The sequence below is a fragment of the Homo sapiens genome, chromosome 16 (genome assembly GCF_000001405.40).
Source record: "Homo sapiens chromosome 16, GRCh38.p14 Primary Assembly".
In the NCBI taxonomy this organism is placed as follows: domain Eukaryota; kingdom Metazoa; phylum Chordata; class Mammalia; order Primates; family Hominidae; genus Homo; species Homo sapiens.
The window spans coordinates 82,626,703-82,646,092 of NC_000016.10; the positions used below are offsets into that span (position 1 = coordinate 82,626,703).

Here is a 19,390-nt window from a genome sequence, read left to right on the forward strand (position 1 = left end):
GGAAGTGGCCGCCAGTCCCCCGTGCAATTCCATTCTCTGGAAAAGTGGAATCAGCTGGCATTGCCCAGCGTGATTTGTGAGGCTGAGCCCCAACAGTCCAAAGAAGCAAATGGGATGCCACCTCCGCGGGGCTCGCTCCTCGCGAGGTGCTCACCCCGTATCTGCCATGCAAAACGAGGGAGCGTTAGGAAGGAATCCGTCTTGTAAAGCCATTGGTCCTGGTCATCAGCCTCTACCCAATGCTTTCGTGATGCTGCTGCTGATCTATTTGGGAAGTTGGCTGGCTGGCGAGGCAGAGCCTCTCCTCAAAGCCTGGCTCCCACGGAAAATATGCTCAGTGCAGCCGCGTGCATGAATGAAAACGCCGCCGGGCGCTTCTAGTCGGACAAAATGCAGCCGAGAACTCCGCTCGTTCTGTGCGTTCTCCTGTCCCAGGTAGGGAAGAGGGGCTGCCGGGCGCGCTCTGCGCCCCGTTTCTGCATTCGGATCGCCCGGCACGGGCAGGGTGAGGGGGCTTTCGGGGGGTCGGGGCCTCCGGTCGCGGCGGCGAAGACAGATCGGGGCTCGGTAGGGAGGTCATTCCGAGCCCAGAGATCCTAGGCACCCCCCACACACAGGCTCCCACTCTGGCGTGCGTGTGTGTGTGTGTGTGTGTGTGTGTGTGTGTGTGTGTGTGTGTACGTTCGTTAACGGGAGGAGGAGAGAGCTCCCAGTCCTTTTTTGCTAGCAGGGGCGACATTCTCGCCCACATCAAGTGGGGTAACTTTGGTTCCCTCCTCCGGAGGCTCGGTGCATTGGAGAAAGACTCAGTTAGAGGCGACTCCAACGAGCCGCGGTTTTCCCCAGCCCAACGCCCAGCGGCCGAAGCGCTGCTCGGGTCCGGATTGCGGGATGCGGGGCTGGAGAGGCCGAGCAGGCACCACCGACTTCCCAGGGCGCCCGGGCCCCCTGGTACAGCCCGGCTGCCCGCTGGAAGGCGCCTCGGGGCAGCAGAGAGCCTCAGCCCGGCTGCTGCTGTCGCTCAAAGGCGCCGGCGCCGGCCGCACCCGCATCGGGGTCCTTTTGCTCCCAGACCCCGGGCCCGAAAGGGCCGGAGCGTGTCCCCCGCCAGGGCGCAGGCCCCAGCCCCCCGCACCCCTATTGTCCAGCCAGCTGGAGCTCCGGCCAGATCCCGGGCTGCCGCCTCTGCTGCCTTCCCTGAGCGGGAGCGGAGCGCAGAGAAAAGTTCAAGCCTTGCCCACCCGGGCTGCAGCTGCTTGTTAACCCTCAGAGCGCCACGGCGCGAGGGAAGGGCACGCCAACCAGGAGAGGGGGCGAGGGAGATGCGGTCCGCCTGCAGTCACCTCTGCACCTCAGAGATTTCGGGAAGTTTGAGTGCAGGAAAGCAGCGCTCCGAGGCCAGGCCTGGGGTGCTGGCCGCTGCGGGGGGCACGCCCTGCGCTGCTCAGGGGCCTGTGGTTTCGGAGAGCACCCCGATCCAGTCCCCCATCGCCTCTCTGGCAGGCGTTGGGACTTGGAGTGAGCTGGCAGCCTGCAAGTGGGTGGATAAGAGCCAGGGCAGGGCAGGGCCGGGCAGAGTAAGGAGGGAAAGAGACAGGGAGTGCCTCAGGGTGCTAGGAATGAGTGTTGAGTTCCTGGCCGGGGTAGAGGCTCAGGTGAGAGTTTGCGGGTGAAAGGCAGGGGAAGGGAGTTGGGTTCCCAGGTAGGGACTGTCTGGGATGGGGAGACTGGTGCAGACTTCTAAGGGAGACCACTGTTAGAGCAATGTTGGGTTTAGACTTTGGAAATGGGCTAACATCTCAGAAATGCAGTGATGGGTGATAGTACCAGGGGAGATTCAAGTGCCCGGCTGCTGAGCCCGCTCCCAAGCTCCTGACTTCTTTCTTGGATATACAGTCCCGATTAAGGACTGCCCAGTTATAGCTCCTTTTCTACCAGGCTTTTCTGGTTGATTATCTTGGGGTCCCTACAGCCTTGAGTCTTGCCATGGATCCCAAGCCTGGCTGTGAACCAGTTTTCCAGATGTCCTGTACCCTAGAGACCCCAAGGCTGTATGTGTGTACATATACCCCAATTTAGCAAGGCGGTTTGGAGCATGCCTCAGACAGAAAGGATTCAGACAGATCCTTCCTGCCATCTGCTAGTGGTACCAACCCGGGCAAGTTGTTTAACCTCTTTGAGCTTCCAAGTTCTCCATTGTAAAATAATCTGCTGCCTTCCTAGGACTGCTGAGTGGATAGGATTGCATTCAACAGGATGTCCTATGCAATGCATGCCAGTCTGGGAGCTGTCGGTGTCTGAGAGCACTTACCATTGCCTTGTCCAGGACTTCACAGTCCTCTTTCTTTCTTGGCAGGTTTCAACCTCAGTTCATATTCCAGGGCTTGCCCAAAGTTATGCCTCCTTTAAAGCAAGACAGACCACGTGACAGGGCCCCAGGATCGATTTTTATGCACTAAGGGCTCTGCGCACGGTTCTTTTTGCAAATGAACTGGTGTGTCTCCTCACCCAGGGCCAGGCTGGCACAGGTGGGTTCTGAAGGCTCACTCTATTTATTTAGATGAAGGAAGCAGAGATTTTGCTGTGAATTGAAATGATTGCCCTGAGAGGCTTATTTCTATTTTCAATTGTTATGCATATCAGAGCAAATGTCCACATTAGGATAGTAATTGATATCCTGGTAGCAATAGTACCTCACAGAGAAATCATTTTGATGCAATCCAGTTAACCAGCAAGAAGTTCACGTGCAGAACTCTGTGTGCCATAGAAAAAAGTGGGGAAAGTCTTCGAGGCCTTGAGTCGACGAGCAAAAACACAACTTTCCTGAGGCAGAGAGAAAACAGAAGGGAAAAACAATGTAATAAAACAAATTAGTCACTCGGCCCTGGTGGTGTTCAGGCAAGCCTGTATGTTTTTTTCCACCACAGTTGTAAAGCATCGGGTCTGGCTTTGGAAGCCATCAATCTCTGTAAGCTTATTGGCTTGGTTGTTGTTTTAGGCATTTTGGTAGGAGGTGAGGAATTCTAAGCAACAATGACTGGAAGCTGGCACCGTTGAACAGTCACCTCTCCTATCCCCTGGGGTGTTTTGGGAAAGTCTGTCCCAGAAGTGGCTTCTGGAATTTGCCTATGATAAGTAATGACTGTGAAACAAATCAAGAAAGAAATGAGCAAGAAATTCCATGGTAAATGTGATTCCCCTCCCTATTTGGGTAGCACTTACAACTAACCAAAAGTTCTAACAATGAGTGAGTAATCCCCCAAGAATTAGGAATTTAGGGAGGGGTTCAGGCTTGGAGGACAGTCGCTTGGGAGTGACTGAAAATGTTCCATGGAATTCTGAGATTTCGCTATAAAGTGGGGAGTTCTCTCTAGGGGTCAGAGTCTTGATTTTCAGGATTTTCAATGAGAATCAGTGTCTTATAGTGCTCCTGCAAATTTGTGTGTTATGTTTTAAGAGCAGTGTTTATTTGCAGAACTTTTTGGATGAGGAAAAGGACACAGGGTTGAAGAGGGTGCTGCCCCCTCCCCCCCTAGGGTCAATACATGACAGCCTGTAAGATTTCCAGAGCACTAGGGAAATGGAATATGTAGTGAAAGGAGTCAGTGATAGAGTTCACCTGTCTGAATATTTTTTTTTAGCAAGTCCCAAAACAGGTTTAATAAACTGCAAAGCTGAGTATGTAATCTGGAATTTGTGTAATTCCACAGTCTATACTAAAAGCCCCAACAGTCATCTTAGCTGATCGCTCCTACTCTGCCTCCCTCCCTTCTCCCCTTTTCTATCTTTAGCCCTTGGGTTTTCCGTTAAGTAAAATCTGTTTACTTCCAGAAGTATCCTCTATGTGTTATAGTGAAATTGCCCAACAAACCAACATACTCAATAACTGCATTATCTAAAAGCATCAGCACTTGGATGTGTAAACTGAGCCTCAATCTGAAGTTCAATGTTTAGGTTAAAGTGTAGCTAGGTTCTTGAAAACATCCTTATTTCCTTCCAAAAATACAATTGCTTGGGGAGTCTAGTTAATTTATATTTAGTGGAATGTAGGAAAAGGACAAACTATGGATTTAATTTACACCTGAATGACAGTCATATCATCTACGTAGCCAACAGTGTTTCTGTGTGCGCGTCTGAGTGAGTGTGTACATCTCTGCATTTTGATCTTGTAATACCTGTTGAAAAATTTCTCCAGAAGAGGGCTCCATCCACAGCATTACAAAATTCTGAATCTACAGCTCATTTTAAAGAACTTCAATGCAGCAACTCCATCAAAACAAAACTATTCTCCTTATTCCACATTAATTGCCACAATCACCCCCAAATGAGAAATCCTGCCATTTTTCACTGTATTTATTTCTGTGTCTCTCTCTTTCTTGCTTTCCTTCTTTTGCTCTCTTGCTTTCTCGCTAGCTTTCTTCTTGCTTTCTTTCTTTTCCCCTATTGTAGTTGGTTCTGTTCTAATTCATTCTTTGACTCTGTATCCCCTCTGAGTATTGGAGCAGGGAAAATTTCAAAGATGTTTGTAGACGGTGCAATACGCAATGTGAGGAAGTTCTGAAATTTCCTGGCATTTGACTTTGGTTGGACTTGATTTCATTCTTTAGGTAGCCAAAAGGCAGGAACAGTTCTGCCTGTGGAAGGAGATAACCTTCCCCCTTACATAACCACCCAGAAGGGTGACTCCTGAGCTAGGTCCACTCACTTTCCATCACTCATTGAAAAGGAGAAGGAAATATCCCCCTGTCATCCAATTACAATAATCAGCTGGACAGAATCAAACCAAGTGACCAGTGGTTTTGGCATTGTTTCTATTTAGCTGTCAGCCAGGTACCCATGCACCTGTGAGAATCTGACCCTCCTGAAGGATGCTGCCAATATAATTCCCCACAGCCCGCTTCTTCTGCAGCCACCTGGGATCCCAGGCCTGGCTCCTCAGGTATGAACAGGCTGCACAGACAATGAATGGCTGGGCTGTAGGATCTCTTGCTCCTGCAGTAGGCACTCAGCAGTGGCCTTATTCTAGAGTTAGGGTGGAAAGTCATCTTTCTCTGCTGAGAGAGGCAGCTTGGGGGAAGGCAGGAGAGGAGAAGAAAGGACATTTCTAACTTGAAGTGCTGACTGAGCCAGGGTCTGTGGAGGTGAATGTGTCACCCTCTGGCTTAGCAAGTTGAACCTCGAGACATCTGCTTGGTGGTAATGGAACTCATCTATCCCAAACCTGCAACTCTGGCTTCTGGGCAGAGGTTGCCAAGTAGCAGCCACAGGCTAAATTTAGCCATGGATGCAGTTTGTTTGGCTCAAATGTTTTGCAAATTGTACATTAATAAAAAAGAAATCCAGGTTTCTAGCATTTCTGAAAAAGTCAGGTCAGGCAACCCTAGATCCACACTTCAACATGGCCGTACTTGACAGGGCTGAGTCACTACTGCCCTCTTTAGGCAGGACGTGCCTCCGTAGCTTGCCATAATCGTCACCACTCTCTACTACCCAGCCTTCTGTGCTCACTAATTTTGCCTGCTTGCCCCTAGGGCTTTTTGAGTTTGGGACCTCTGCTTTCACAAATGTTGAGGTTTGATCAAATTGATGCAGTTTATTTCTCAGTGATGGACTATTTGGAAAGGGAGGGACTGGCCTTTTCTCCTTCCCTGTGATTGAATTCCATTGATGTGTGCTTTGGAACAGCATGACCAAGGGGACTGCAGCCCCTCCCTGAGCACATTACTGGCAGTACTTTTGGACAGGCACCCAGAGAGACATAGCACCCAGATCATTGCTTCAGGTGTAAGAGTCATGCAGAGAAGTGACACGCTGCAGCTCTGAGTCAGTACGAGCCCTGGCACACCAGTGTGTTGGTACAAAATGTCATCACGCACCAGCAGCCAAGGGACTCTGAAACCCTGGGATCATATAGAGGCCTGCATACCCTCTCTGTCAGCAGTCCTCAACCATTTTGGTACCAGGGACCGGTTTCGTGGAAGACAATTTTTCCACGGACTAGAATTGGGGGGATGGTTTTGGGATGATTCAAGCACATTACATTTATTATGCATTTAATTTCTGTATTGTTACATTGTAATATATAATGAAATAATTCTACAACTCACTATAATTTAGAATTACTGGGAGCCCTGAGCTTGTTTTTCTGCCACTAGATGGTCCCATCTGGGGGTGATGGGAGACACTGACAGATCATCAGGCATTAGACTCTCATAAGGAGAAGGCGACCTAGATCCCATGCACGCACACAGTTCACACAGGATTCCAACTCCTATGAAAATCCAGTGCCACGGCTGATCTGACAGGAGGCAGAGCCCAGGCGGTAATGCGAGTGCTGGGGGGCCATTATAAATACAGATGAAGCTTTTGCTTGCTCACGGGCCACTCACCTCCTGCTGTGTGGCCTGATTTCTAACAGGCCATGGACTGGTACTGGCCTGTGGCCTGGAGGTTGGGAACCCCTGCTCTACGTAGTGTTCTACCAAGAGCATGGCTGTCCTTGGAGAACAGTGACAGCTGAGCATCATCATTCCATGAGTGTTGCTCCCTCACGGTATAGACATAACCAGAACGTCACAATAACTTACTCTACTTAGACTTGCCAAGGCCTCCGGGAACACTGCTCTAATATTCAGCACCTTTGTAACTTCAGGATAAAGCTGAATCTGCAGCTCTGTCACCTACTTTTTTTCTTTGAGACGGAGTCTTGCTTTGTCACCCAAGCCGGAGTGCGGTGGCGCGATGTCGGCTCACTGCAACCTCCACCTCCAGGGTTTAAGCAATTCTGTGCCTCAGCCTCCCAAGTAGCTGGGATTACAGGTGCCCGCCACCAGGCCTGGCTAACTTTTTTATTTTTAGTAGAGACGGGGTTTCACTGTCTTGGCCAGGCTGGTCTTGAACTCCTGACCTCGTGATCCACCTGCCTCGGCCTCCCCAAGTGCTGGGATAAACAGACGTGAGCCACTGCGCCTGGCCAAGTACCCTTATCCATAGGACACTGTCACATCCTAGCACCGTCCTGGAGCTTGTGTGATGTTTTTATATCTGTTTTAACAGTTAACACCCACGGCCGTTCTACATACAGTGTTAATGCTACAATTAATGCTCTCTGGCTCTGTAAATACTAGACTAATCTGTCTGCCTCATCCCATACCAGCAGGTGAGCCTCAGATGATTCTTGTTTTCCATAGCTACAGACCCCAAAGATCAGAGTAAATATAACTCCATATACACATATGAAAAAAAGTGATTGTTTTTCCTCTGCCAGTTGCCAACAGAAGTCAAATTCTAGAAAACTAACATTAACAACAGGCACGTTTTGACTTGTCATGTCTCATTTCAAAGACACCAATGAGCATCACCCGATCTGCTGCAGAGGCACAAAGACCCTGTGTCTCCTAGCTGAACGCAGCCCGGGCTGGGGCGGAGGGCAGCAGCTGCTCAGCCATCAACAGCCCTGCCACATGCCTGGGCAGGGCCCGGAAATGAGCTCAGCCTCTGGAGGAGCCTGGGGAATGGAAGGAAGGAATGTGGCAGCTTCCATCCTTGCCTTACGGGGCCTTCAGGCCAATGTCTCTTTCCCTCAAGGTGTCAGGGAACCGCTTTCTTGTGTTGTGTGCTGCAGGAAGAAGGTGGTGGCTGCAGACACCTGAAGCTTGAGCTTCTGTGATTGTCTCCCTGTGGACTGATTGCTGTAGGGCCTGCGGAAAGTTGCTGGACACTGCCAGCGGAACCGAGGCTGACTCAGACTGCCCGGAGTATCCCTCCTCAACTGCCATCAGCCGTCGGGCATCTGGGATCATCTCACTCAGGGGTTGCAAATTATGGCCCGTGAGCCAATTTCTCCCTGCAGTCTGGTTTTATAAATAGTTTTATTGGATTATAGCCACACCTATTCATTTATGTAATTGTTTATGGCTGCTTTTGTGCTATAACAACAGAGTTGAGACTGTCTGGCCCCTGAAGCTGAAAGTATTTACTATTTAGTCCCTAAAAGAAAAAGTTTCCTGACTCTTTATCTAACTTAAAGTTACAGCCAAAGAGGCTTCTGGGCGTCTTCTCAAATAAGAGGGGCCTGAGAAGTTCAGCCGTTGGGGACTTTTCCTCCTAGGCCCCAAGCACTTGAGCAACTTGACTTCAGGGAGATTCACCTGAGACCAAATGGTTCCAATAAATATCTATGATCTCTATGGAGGATCTACTATGTTCCAAGCACCACTTGTGTGTGCAGGATACAGTTGCTCATAAGGCAGACTGAGTCTCTGCTCTCCTGGGGCTCACAGCTTGGCAGGAAGGATCAATAGCAATTAATGAATAATTTAAGATGGAGACAACTGTGATGAGGGAAGAAAGCCCAGCTGTGTGAGGTCATGCCGTTCTAAATATTTTGCCTAGGTGTTCTTTGTCTTTCTCCTCCACTAGACTATAAGCTCTGTTGTGGTCCACATTGTGGCTTGATTTGTTCATTTCTATACTCCCAGGGCTTAGAACAGTGCCTGGCACATAGTACTCAGCAAACATGAATGAACAAATGAATGAATGAATATAAGAAAGACATCAGAGGCAGATGAAGGATCTGGGCGGCTTCCCTGACAACCTGATGCTTCAGCCCAAATCTGGAGGAGCAGTAGGGCTTACAGACAAAGACACAGTAGAGGGTGTGGGTGGGGAAAGGCATTCCAGGAAGAAGGCACAGTCTGGGTGAAGCCTCTATTCAGGGGAAACACCACACAGCCAAGGCAGTGATGTGAAGTGTGGCTGGGAGGTGCCAGAGCCAATGGGGCCATGTCAGCCACTGCAAGAATATTGGTGTTTTTCTCAGAGCAAGTGGCAGCCATTGAGGGTACTGAGGGAAAGGTACAGAGTGATGTGATCAGATTTGCATTCTGGCTACAAGTAGCAAATGGGTTGGAGCTGGGTAAGAATGGAAAGGAAAGGCCAGTCTAGGGCTGAGATCATGGGAAGCTGGATTCAGGAACGACGGTGCAGAGATGGGGCAGGTGATTGAAGTAGACTGATATGGTTTGGGTCTCTGTCCCCACCCAAATCTCATGTCATATTGTAATCCCTAATGTTGGAGGTGAAGCCCAGTGGGAGGTGATTAGATCAGAGGGCGGATTTCTCCTTGCTTTAATCGTGATAGTGAGTTCTCACAAGACATGGTTATGTGAAAGTGTATAGCACTTCCCCCTTTGCGCCCCCTCTCTCTCCTGCTTGCTGTGTGAAGACGTGCCTCCTTCGCCTTCCCCTTCTGCCACGATTGTAAGTTTCCTGAGGCCTTTGCAGCCATACTTCCTCTACAGCATGCAGAAGCAAGCCAATTAGACCTCCTGTCTTTATAAATTACCCAGTCCCAGGCAGTTCTTTATAGCAATGCAAGAATGGACTAAATCCTATTCAGATAATCCAAGAGACATTTAGGTGGATAACTTGACAGGCTTTGATGGTGGCTGGGTATGGAGATGGCAGGGCCAGAGAGAGGTGAAGGAGGCCTGCTTGAGTTCTGACTCTTCCAATTGGCAGGAAGAGTCAAACAAGGAGACCAGGTGTTTGACATTGTAAACAGGGTCGGTCTGAGGGCTTCTCTATGTGGGAGTGTAATTCAGGCTGCAGAACGTTCCTGGGAGAGGCACCTAAGGCCTGCATTACAGTATTGCCAGCAGATCCAGTCCATGCCTGCATCTAGGATGGGCACCGTGGGGGCCTGGAAATGCCCTTGAATAAAGTGACCGACGTGCAGCCTGTACAATTAACCAATCTCTGAGACTTTTCATGCACAAGATATTTGAGAGAAACATTGCCAAGCCCTTTAATCGTTTCTTGAACATTCAATCAGCAGCACTGGAAATATGTCTTACATGAAGCAAATAATGATCTTCTACCCTCAGCAATCGCTTTGCCAATGCTAACAAGCCTCTGCTTCAGCATGTTGGGTGTAGCCTTGGTGACTTCTGTTTGTGGTGTAGTAGGAGAATATTCAACTGGGTGCCAGGCAGTGGTATATTGGTAAATGTTTAACAACTGGGCCACTCTAAAGAAACACCCAAACCAGAAAGCAAAACCCAAACCAAGACACAACCAAGTAATTTGTAGCTCTTGCCAATTTCTGTGATGTAAATACTCCCGTCATGGGCAATTTGAATCTGCCAACCTGAGAGTTTCCTAAAAACTTAACAAGGGGCTCTTGCTACCTGATACTAACTGGCTCCAGCACACCATGGACCTGGATCCTGTTTCTAGCTCACCCCCTCACTCGTGGTATGACCTTCAGCAAGCAGCTTGAATGTTTTCATCTGTAAAATGGACCAGGTTACTTGGAGGTTCAAGTGAGTAAAAAGATGTTAGAATGCAGGGAAGTCCAATTTGCTGCAAAGATGCATGCAGATTATCTAAATCATTATCACTTACAAGGAAACAGGACCTTTGGCCAGGATCCTACAGCTGTCTAATTGGGCCCTGTAAAAATACTTTGATTCAGCCACTGAATGAAGTTTGATGTGTGAGAAACAGAGGGTGTACCTCTGCTTCCTGCAGTTCTGCATGTTTTTGCAGTAAGAAAGATTATTGCGTTCTGTGGCAGTATTGATTCCGAACGTGTCTATCTTGTTTTTCTGCTTTCCCTTCTTTTCTTCCTTTTCTCAACAAAGATATTTAGTGAGTGCTGTATGCCAGGCACTCACCTAGGTACTTTATCCTCAGAAGCTGAGGTCTGTACAGTTACTGTGCCTTTTTTTTTTTTTTTTTTTTGAGACGGAGTCTGGCTCTGTCACCCAGGCTGGAGGGCAGTGGCGCGATCTCGGCTCACTGCAAGCTCCGCCTCCCGGGTTCACGCCGTTCTCCTGCCTCAGCCTCCTGAGTAGCTGGGGCTACAGGCGCCCGCCACAGCGCCCGGCTAATTTTTTTTTTTTTGTATTTTTAGTAGAGACGGGTTTTCACCGTGTTAGCCAGGATGGTCTCGATCTCCTGACCTCGTGATCCGCCAGCCTCAGCCTCCCAAAGTGCTGGGATTATAGGCGTGAGCCACAGCGCCCGGCCTATCGTGCCCTTTCAACAGATGAAGAAACTGGTGAGTTTAAGGAACTGACCCAAGATCACAGAATAATAAGTGGTGAGCTGGGATTTGCACCTGGGTCTGTGCGTGGGCGAGTCCACCTGGGGCCCGTGTCTTCACTCAGCGAGTATTTATTGAGCATTTAGGGAATTCAGAGGTAAACGAGATGAACTGAATCCCTGTCTCATGGAGCTTACAGTTTTGTGGGAACAGCAGATAAAAACAAGTAAGTACTTGAAATAATTACAAATGTGGTAATTGTTACAATAGGAAGCAGTAGAGGCTGAAATCCATTGAAGGGAGAAGAGGCTGCTGTGCCTTCCTTTGCTCCTTTGCTTCCTTTCATCTGCCTTGCCTCCCTCTTTCTGCTGTCTTTCTTTCTTTCTTCCCTTAAATGTTACCTACCAACTATGAAGAACGCTGCAAACCTGGGAACCCAGAGGTGAACACGACAGTCCAGGCCTTCACTAGGAAATGTGCTGGAGCAGAATTAGAGCCTGGGGCTGGCCTGGACCCAGAGCTGCTGGTGCCTTGGACTGCTTAGGGACTGCTGAGCAGACCTCCTAGCCCTTTAGAAGTGAGCTTGAATCCCTGCCCAGCCATTTACACACTGTGTTGCCTCAGATAATTGACTTCATTTCCCTCCTTTTCTGTTTTCCCCTGTATTAAAACAACTGAAAAGGAATATCTATGCTTGCCCTGCAGGATTTTTGTGAGAATTAAATAAGTGTATGTTAATGATGTCATCCTATGCTTAAGAAATGTTGGTTGTATTACTTTTCACCCTATGCTCCAAGGAATTTTATGGTCTGAAGGTGTCATGGGGTCTTGGCTTTCAGGATGTGACTCACTTAAGGGGGGAAATGACTGTGCATGTCATAATGCGTGGACATTAAAAAAAATAAAGTTTGCTCCCCAGGGAGGATTTGCCAATTCCCATATTAGTAGGTCCCCCAAGATTGTTCCCCTCGGGATTCATGCCTCATAAAATCATTTGATCTGGTGGGATCTCATCTTCTTAATGTGTCTGCCCATCATCTGTTCCTGGGAGGCTTTATTAGGGCAGTGTGTGCGTGTGTGCGTTTGTGTGCATGCACGCACCAGTGCCATGAGTACTTGTTTAAAGTACCTCCATGTAACCACAATTCACTGTAGTTGCTATGCACTAGTTACCCATGTTATCTGGAATCCTTCCTGCAACCCTTAGAGGCGACTCTTATTCCCAATTTTATATACGATGAGAAGAAGTTTTGAGTGGTGGAGTCATTTGCTCAAGGCCACACAGTCACTGAGAACTGGGACCAGGGTTTGGACCCATGCGTCTTTATTCCTGTGCATATTTATTTTCCTCTATGTTGCACTAGTATATAAAAGTTGCCTTTCCCACTCCCCTCATTATATAAAAATTCTTTCCTTTGTCTATTTTGTTCTCTACCTCCCTTAAAGTCAAGATAGCTGCCTGGGATGACTACTTTTTTGAGTTCCTAGTCTCTCAAAGTGGGTCTGGGCCCTGGACTTCCTGTCTGGGCTACTGATTGCAACCTTCAGAACAGGGTCAGCCCGGGGTCATTTGTGTTCTTTGTCTCCATGTCCTTGCTTTTGACCAGGGCCAAACAACCCACCTGCACTGCATGGTTCCCCCAGCAAGAACATCCCAGTGAGAATGGCCCACAGATGCCTGGGCGTGACCCACCTGCAGCTTCAACCATGCAGGTAAATTTGCCTGCTGCTGTGTCGTGTGGCTGGATGGAATTCTTCCCTAGGGATGCTAAGAAACCCTGTTGCCTAAGTCAGTGCTTCCTGCAAGCTACTCTTTGTAATTCTTTCCCCAAACAAAAAGAAAACAAGAAATATACAGTCTGTAGCTATATAGAGACACCTGGATCTATATTGTGTGGCAATTGGATTGAATGTAACTTGAAGTTTATTTTTGTCTTACCAGACTAGTGTTTTTTCCTGTTAATTTAAGTGCTTTAGTGAGGGTTGCCATTGATTGAGCAAACATGTGTTGAGTGCTTATTATGTACCCAGCTCCATTTTCCGTACTAGCCACAGAGCAGCGAGAGCATGGCCTTTGCCCTCCAATCCTGTTCTGGTGGACAGACACTCTCTCCCTTGACAGGGTCCTCACCACTGTGTGCACCGTCCCGCCACCTGGTGGCCGTGCCTATCTGTGCATTCCCTATTTGGTTAACTCATTCACTTAACAAATATTTACTGGGGGAAGACAATATCTCAAGCACAATTCTCAGCATTGAGGGAGGCAGCAGTGATTAAGAAAGACAAGATTGCCTGCCCCCGTGGAGTTTGTGTTCTGATAGCAGAGAAAGACAGGAAACAAGAAAAATAAATAAATATGGTAGTTTTGCGTAGTGATAGTGCTATAGAAAAACGTTCAAATGGGGTAGAGTGATAGACAGTGTTGTTCTGAGCTTGTCCACCACACCCTCTTGGGACAGAGGATTCTTTGTTCTGATGGAATGGCCTTTCTATAGCATAGAGATGAAATGTGCTACCGTTTGTGAAAGGAAGTTAGTAATACATACATGGCATTTTTGTCTTCACTGATAAAGTGTTGTTGGTCAACTTTTGTCAACTCTCTACTTTTTGTTTGTGTTGAAATTTTACTGTTGGGAATTTACGAATATGGCAACTAATGATTTAAACCAGGGGTAGGTATCCTTTTTCTGTAATGAGCCATCTAGTAAATAGCTGGTTTCTCTTGAAACTGTTCAATTCTATCCGTGTAGCATTAAAGCAGCCACAGCCGATATGTAAATGAATGGGCAGGGTAATAAAATGTTATTTACAAACACAAGCAGAGCTAGATTGGTCCTTCAGGCTGCCATTTGCCAACCACTAATCTAAACCAGTAGCTGCCTTACCAGTTGGTCAAACTTGTTTAAGACAGGGATAGGGCAGAGGCCAGCGAGGGGAACCAGGCATTCTCTTTGGCCTCAGTTGCCATGAAAATCATGGTACTTCTTTAGGGTCACATATCACTAGATTATTTGCATTAACTTTTATCAAGGTAAAGATGCTAATAGTCAACTATGGAACATAATTCTCAGAGTAGATCTAACATAGGAATAATTTAGCTTTGTAATATTTATCTGGACTACAATTTTTAAGGCACTTTTGCTACCCAAAAGTATCTTGGGGTTAAACACGCTCTTGGATTGAATTCCTCTAAATAAATAGAGACACAGAATTGGGTTCAGGGGGTTAAGTTGGTAAATGATCTCAAGGTCCATAAGTGAGCGAGTGGGGAGAGTGAGACCAAGAAGAAGGAAAGCCAGCAAGCCAACAGTGAATGTGTCATTGAGGTGGTCACAGTCATGGGAAACTGGCTTCTTGCTGCTGGGTCTCTACAAAAGCACTGTGTAAAGCTCATTTCCGAATGGTCCCTCCACAGAATAGGTGGCTGAGGGTGTATTCACTCGCCCTTATCTTCTGCTGGTCAGGGGTGACCCCTGCCGTCATTAACTTCTCTGTGCTTCCCTGCTGAGCCTTTGCTGTCATGGGGAGCAGTCATGACTTTGGAAGCATCATAGCAGAAAAAATGGAAAGGTATGGCAAGTTGTTGGACTGTCAGGATATGCCCTGGGTAGGGTATGAATATATGTGATTTCTCTTGCCACCATTACATGTTACTGGAAACTTCCTCAGTAGAGCTAATGGTAACAGAAAGAATTATGGTAGTGGTAATTTTTAAAACCTTCTGAATTTGGTTAAGCACCCTCCTGCAGATATTCTCTTTCCCACTAGATGGTACCAGTATGCCAAAGCCCTAGAATGCTACCTTAGGGCCTCGTCTTTGACATGTGATATATTCTCATTACTTTTCAACAATGAATGAATAAGCCAGTTGAGGTCAAAGGAATCAACTATGGATGTTTTAGGGACAGGAGATGGGAGAAAAGTGGAGGCTGTCTAAACAGTTACCCTCATTCACGCATTCAGTCATTTATCAACAAATATTACTCAGCACTGACTGAGTGCTCAACACTTTTCTAGGCACTGGGAATACAGAAATGAGTAAGACAGGCCAAGTCCCTGCTCTGGTGAGCTTATGTACTGGCTGGGAGAGAGACAATAAAAAAATGAACAGGTAGGTATGTGATGTCTGCAGGAGGGTGATGAGTGCCATGAAGAATGAGAAAGCAGGCGAGGGGGTAGATAGCGACAGGCAGAGGTCATGGCGCTTGCCTTCGCTGTTGGCTGTAGGGTGAGAGATTATTTTCATCTGCTTCCCAAACCCAGTTCTTCCATTCACCAACTCCTTATGACACCCCTATGCGGTTTATTTTTGAAATGAAACTAACAGCTCATGGAGGGCAAAAAAAAAAAAAAAAAAAAAGTGGTGCTTGGCAAATGTGTGTTCACTAGTCGGGGCCCACTGCAGCCTAACACCTAACTCATTGGACTGCTTGTTGGCTGATTTAATTTGTCTGGAATATTTCTGAATTACTATTGTTGTTGACACACAATAGAGTTGCATTTAACTCAGAGGTTAGACTATAAGGTCAGGGTTTTAGGCAAACACAGTTGTCATTAGCCTTGAACTCTTTTAAGTTGCCCATTAAAGTACAGTAGGCGTGGTTTAGTCTATGCATCCCCGTATTGTAATCAATAGGGAACAATGTATAATGCACGCAGTAATGTACAGGGCATAATAAAGAATATATGCAAGATATAATTTTATAGCATTTAATTGCAGTATTTACATTGTTCTTTTTCTCTCTCTCTTTGGTGGGAGAGCTGGCTTTCCATTAGTTAAATGTGCATATGATGAGACTTGACTATATTCATTTAAGCCACATTCCTAATCATACAATCTCCACCAGACTGTGCATTACGTAAGGCAAGACCTGTTTTCTCTGTTGTGTTCTGTTTATCTTTGGATTCCCACTACCAGTCAGATGCTTTGGGGTGGGGGAATTGAGGAATAATAATAGTAGAAGTGGCAGTAATAGTAGCTGATATCAGTGTGGTGCTGATTTTGAACCAGGCCTGGTGTGAGTGCTTCAGATGCATTAATCAGCACATGTAATCCTCATAGTGACTCTATAAAATATCTTCTATGGTTTTAATCCCATTTCATAGGTGGGGAAACTTCAGGAGAACTTAGTAAAAGAACCTAATAAAGCTTTAGGACTCTAGGGCTGAGATTCAAACTCAAGACAATTCCAGACACACAAGACCACATGTTGTATGATTCTATGAAATGGAACAAACTGTCCAGAAAAGTCAAATCCAGAGACAGAAAGCAGATTAGAAGATGTCTAGGGCTGGGGGCAGGAGGAAATGGGGAGTTACTGCTAATGGGTATAGAATTGCTTTGGGGAAGATGTAAATGCTCTGGAGCTAGATAGTGGTGGTGATTACATTAGCTCTCTGTAAATAAACCCCAAACCTGGGAATCATATATCTTAACCGGCTAAGCTTTATAGTATGTTACACATGTCTAAATAAAACTGGTATTGAATAGGAAAACAAGCAAACCTTGGGCAGGTCAGCCTCAGGGCTCCTGTTTGTTCATGAGCACACACCACCTGTCTTACAGTTGTTCACCACCTGCTGGTGATACTCTACTTGCTTTACTTATATTAACACTGCGACTCCTCAAAAGATCCCCATTGTCCACCCTACTGAGATCAGAAAGCGGAAGCAGAACGATGTTGAGAAACTTGGGGCTGGCAAGTGGTAGTTTCAGGATTAAGACCCAGGCTGTTTGGGTCTAATTCCTTCTGGCTACACTGGTTCTTACATGTGTTTCATTCATTAAAAGCAACCTGTGTTATTTGGAACTGCAGGTCACCTTGGCCTATTGGAAATAAAGCAAGGGTTCTTCACGTTTGTTTTGCTGATTTGTAAAGTGAATTAAGAACCATCTTTTGCCTCACTGGTTATTATTCTCATAGTAGCCTACCCTGGTGTAGAGTTCTGGCTGCAAAGCTCTCAGAGACTGAAGAAAAGGAGATGGTTTAGTGTTACTGACTTTTTTTAAGACAGGGTCTTTCTCTGTTGCCCAGGCTGGATTGCAGTGGTGCAATCATAGCTAACTGCAGCCTTGACCACCTGAGCTCAAGCAACCCTCTTGCCTCAGTTCTGGAAATAGCTAAGTGGGACTACAGGTGTGGACCACCAGGCCCAGTTAATTAAAAAAAAAAAAAACTTTAAGACAAGGTCTTGTTATGTTGCCCATGCTGGTCTCGAACTCCTGGCTTCAAGTGATCCTCCAGGAGTAGCTGGCATTACAGGCTTGGCTGACTTTTAAAAGTAGTAAGTGGTTTAGGATGGGGGGTGGTATGGAGGTCGGGTGGGGAGAAAGAGGAGAGAAATCTAATTGATATGCTAATTGTCATTGTACTCAAGTTGATAGCAGATTGCTGAAGGATTTAGGATTTACCCAAATTAACATGAATGTTTGGCACCCTTTGGCTGGTGCGGCTGAAGAATTCAATAGCCTAGTAATGAGAAGTCAATCTAAGGTCTAAGGCTGGGAAAGGAGCTCCCACTTCTTACATTCAGTGCTCATCACTCTGCAAATCAAGGCCCCCCGAACTCCTCCCACCCCTGCCTTCTGCGTCTCCCTCTGTGCTCTCCATCACCCCCCTACGGAGTTCCTTTGATTCTCAGGTCCCTTAACCATGGAACGTACTCCTGTCTGCCCTCACTCGTGGGTTGATGATTTCTATCCTTTGTCATGTTGAAAATGCTGAGTGACAAAGCCATTAGCCATGCACAGTGAAACAAGGAAAGCAGCCTAGAGCTGGTCCCCAGACCAGGCCCAGTGCACGAGTTTGGGTGCTGGAAGGGGAGGCTTTATGGAGGCAAAGCTGAGGGGCTGTACGTGTCTTCATAGGTCTCCAGTCTGTAAAAGCAACCACGCTTTGGGCTGGGGCAGAAGTCAGGACTTGAACTGGCTCTGGCTGGGACCCAGGCTCCCAGGTAGCCAGCTCCCAGGTGACAGGAGTCCGCTGGGCTCCCTCTGATTCTTAAAGCCTTTCCAGGTAGCAACAGGAGATCACGCAAAGCCACGTAAGTGTCTGATTCAGTCCTCCCTGGTCAGTTTTCCAGCATAGCGTTTTGCAAAATGTGTTCTGAAGAGATACTGGTTCCATGGGAGGTTAATATGGGTTCTGGGGAAAAAAAATTAGGGGAATCAAAAAATTACTTGTATAAACTAATATTTTGGAAAACTCTGGAGTTAGAGAAGTGGACCAGATTGGGTTTTGTTTTTTCACAAATGAAAGTCTCTGAGATTGTAGTGTGTTTCAGTTTCAGAGGGCTCTTCCCAAACCCCTGAGGTTAAGGAAACTCTTGTACACAGTGGGTCTCGGGCACTAACTCACAGATCACACTTCTGAAAACAAGCTCCTAGGATGCCATATCTCAGAGTACGGGCTTCGACGGGGCCCTTCACCCAGCTCCAGGACCAACTGGGAGCCTGTTAGGACTGCAAATCCTGTCCTCTGGACCTAGAGAATGAAAGCCTCTGGGGGCAGGCTCAGAAATCTGTGTTTCCAGATTCCACTGGGTTTTCAACTCCATCCAGAATAATTCTTCTGGTGTCACTGTGAATATTTGCTGATCCTTCTGACGTCTATCCGTGGTGCTTGTTTCTGAAGTGTAGTCTAAACCGTTGGCTCTCAACTGTTGGGGTGAGGGGGGTTGTGACCCTCGGGACAGTTTGCAATATCTACAGACATGCTTGTTTTTCACAACCTGGGGAGGGGAGTGGGCATCTAGTGGGCAGAGCTCAGGGATGCTGTTCAACATCCTACAATGAACAGCACAGCTCCCACCACAAAAGGTTATCCTGACCCAAATACAGTAGTGCTGAGGTGGAAAACTCTGATCCAAATGCATAGCTTCATACTCACCCAGCACACACAGGGATTTTTATCCTTATCTTATCCTGTTATTACTAGGAGGCTGGAATCTGAAGCTGGGGCTGTGAAAAGATACCTCACAGCAAGCCGCTATTCATGTATAATTTTTCAAAAGGTAAAACCAAGACTCTTGGGTAAATACGCACTTCAACTCATTAATTTATGAAGAAACCAGTAAGATGCCATGGTTATTCCAAAGGGCATTTAAGAAGCTAAGGTATTCGTAAGGAATTTAGCAAAGAAATGTGAAGACGAGATTGCTGAGTTAGATAAAAAGTGGTTAATGTTCATCATGCCTAAACTTTTGGGGGTTATCTGTTCTATTAGATAAAAAGTATTTGCATCTCTACTGGACAAAAGTTGACCACTTAAGTGGTGACTTCACAAAGTCTGGGATCTTCAAGAGCAAACAATGAGATGAACTAAGAGCATGCTCCTAAAC

General features: G+C 46.9%; 1 protein-coding gene across 8 annotated transcripts in view, besides 3 other annotated features; it reads left to right on the forward strand.

Moving 5' to 3' along the window:
* Positions 267–19,390, forward strand: part of CDH13 (cadherin 13) — a 1,173,672-nt gene continuing 1,154,548 nt past the window's right edge. For 5 of the 8 annotated variants that reach the window (NM_001257.5, NM_001220489.2, NM_001220490.2 and 2 more), the window contains exon 1: positions 267–435. In NM_001257.5, coding sequence (NP_001248.1) covers positions 391–435 — 45 coding nt within the window. In that variant the 5' untranslated portion in view covers positions 267–390. Of the gene's footprint in view, positions 436–12,657; positions 12,764–19,390 lie in introns of all 8 variants that reach the window. The other 3 variants (NM_001220488.2, XM_017022848.3, XM_017022849.3) reach the window with 1 other exon arrangement.
* Positions 2,352–3,551: an enhancer, noted in NCBI's record as "CDK7 strongly-dependent group 2 enhancer chr16:82662659-82663858 (GRCh37/hg19 assembly coordinates)". NCBI's record gives its function as "activates an origin of replication core promoter dependent on BRD2, BRD4, P300/CBP, MED14 and CDK7 cofactors, with strong dependence on CDK7, by STARR-seq in HCT116 cells {active_cell/tissue: HCT116}" and the evidence as "EXISTENCE:reporter gene assay evidence [ECO:0000049][PMID:35650434]".
* Positions 17,229–17,837: an enhancer, noted in NCBI's record as "OCT4-NANOG-H3K27ac-H3K4me1 hESC enhancer chr16:82677536-82678144 (GRCh37/hg19 assembly coordinates)". NCBI's record gives its function as "activates a minimal SCP1, AML or CMV promoter by ChIP-STARR-seq in naive and primed H9 embryonic stem cells {active_cell/tissue: H9 hESC(naive and primed)}" and the evidence as "EXISTENCE:reporter gene assay evidence [ECO:0000049][PMID:30033119]".
* Positions 17,838–18,445: an enhancer, noted in NCBI's record as "OCT4-NANOG-H3K27ac-H3K4me1 hESC enhancer chr16:82678145-82678752 (GRCh37/hg19 assembly coordinates)". NCBI's record gives its function as "activates a minimal SCP1, AML or CMV promoter by ChIP-STARR-seq in naive H9 embryonic stem cells {active_cell/tissue: H9 hESC(naive)}" and the evidence as "EXISTENCE:reporter gene assay evidence [ECO:0000049][PMID:30033119]".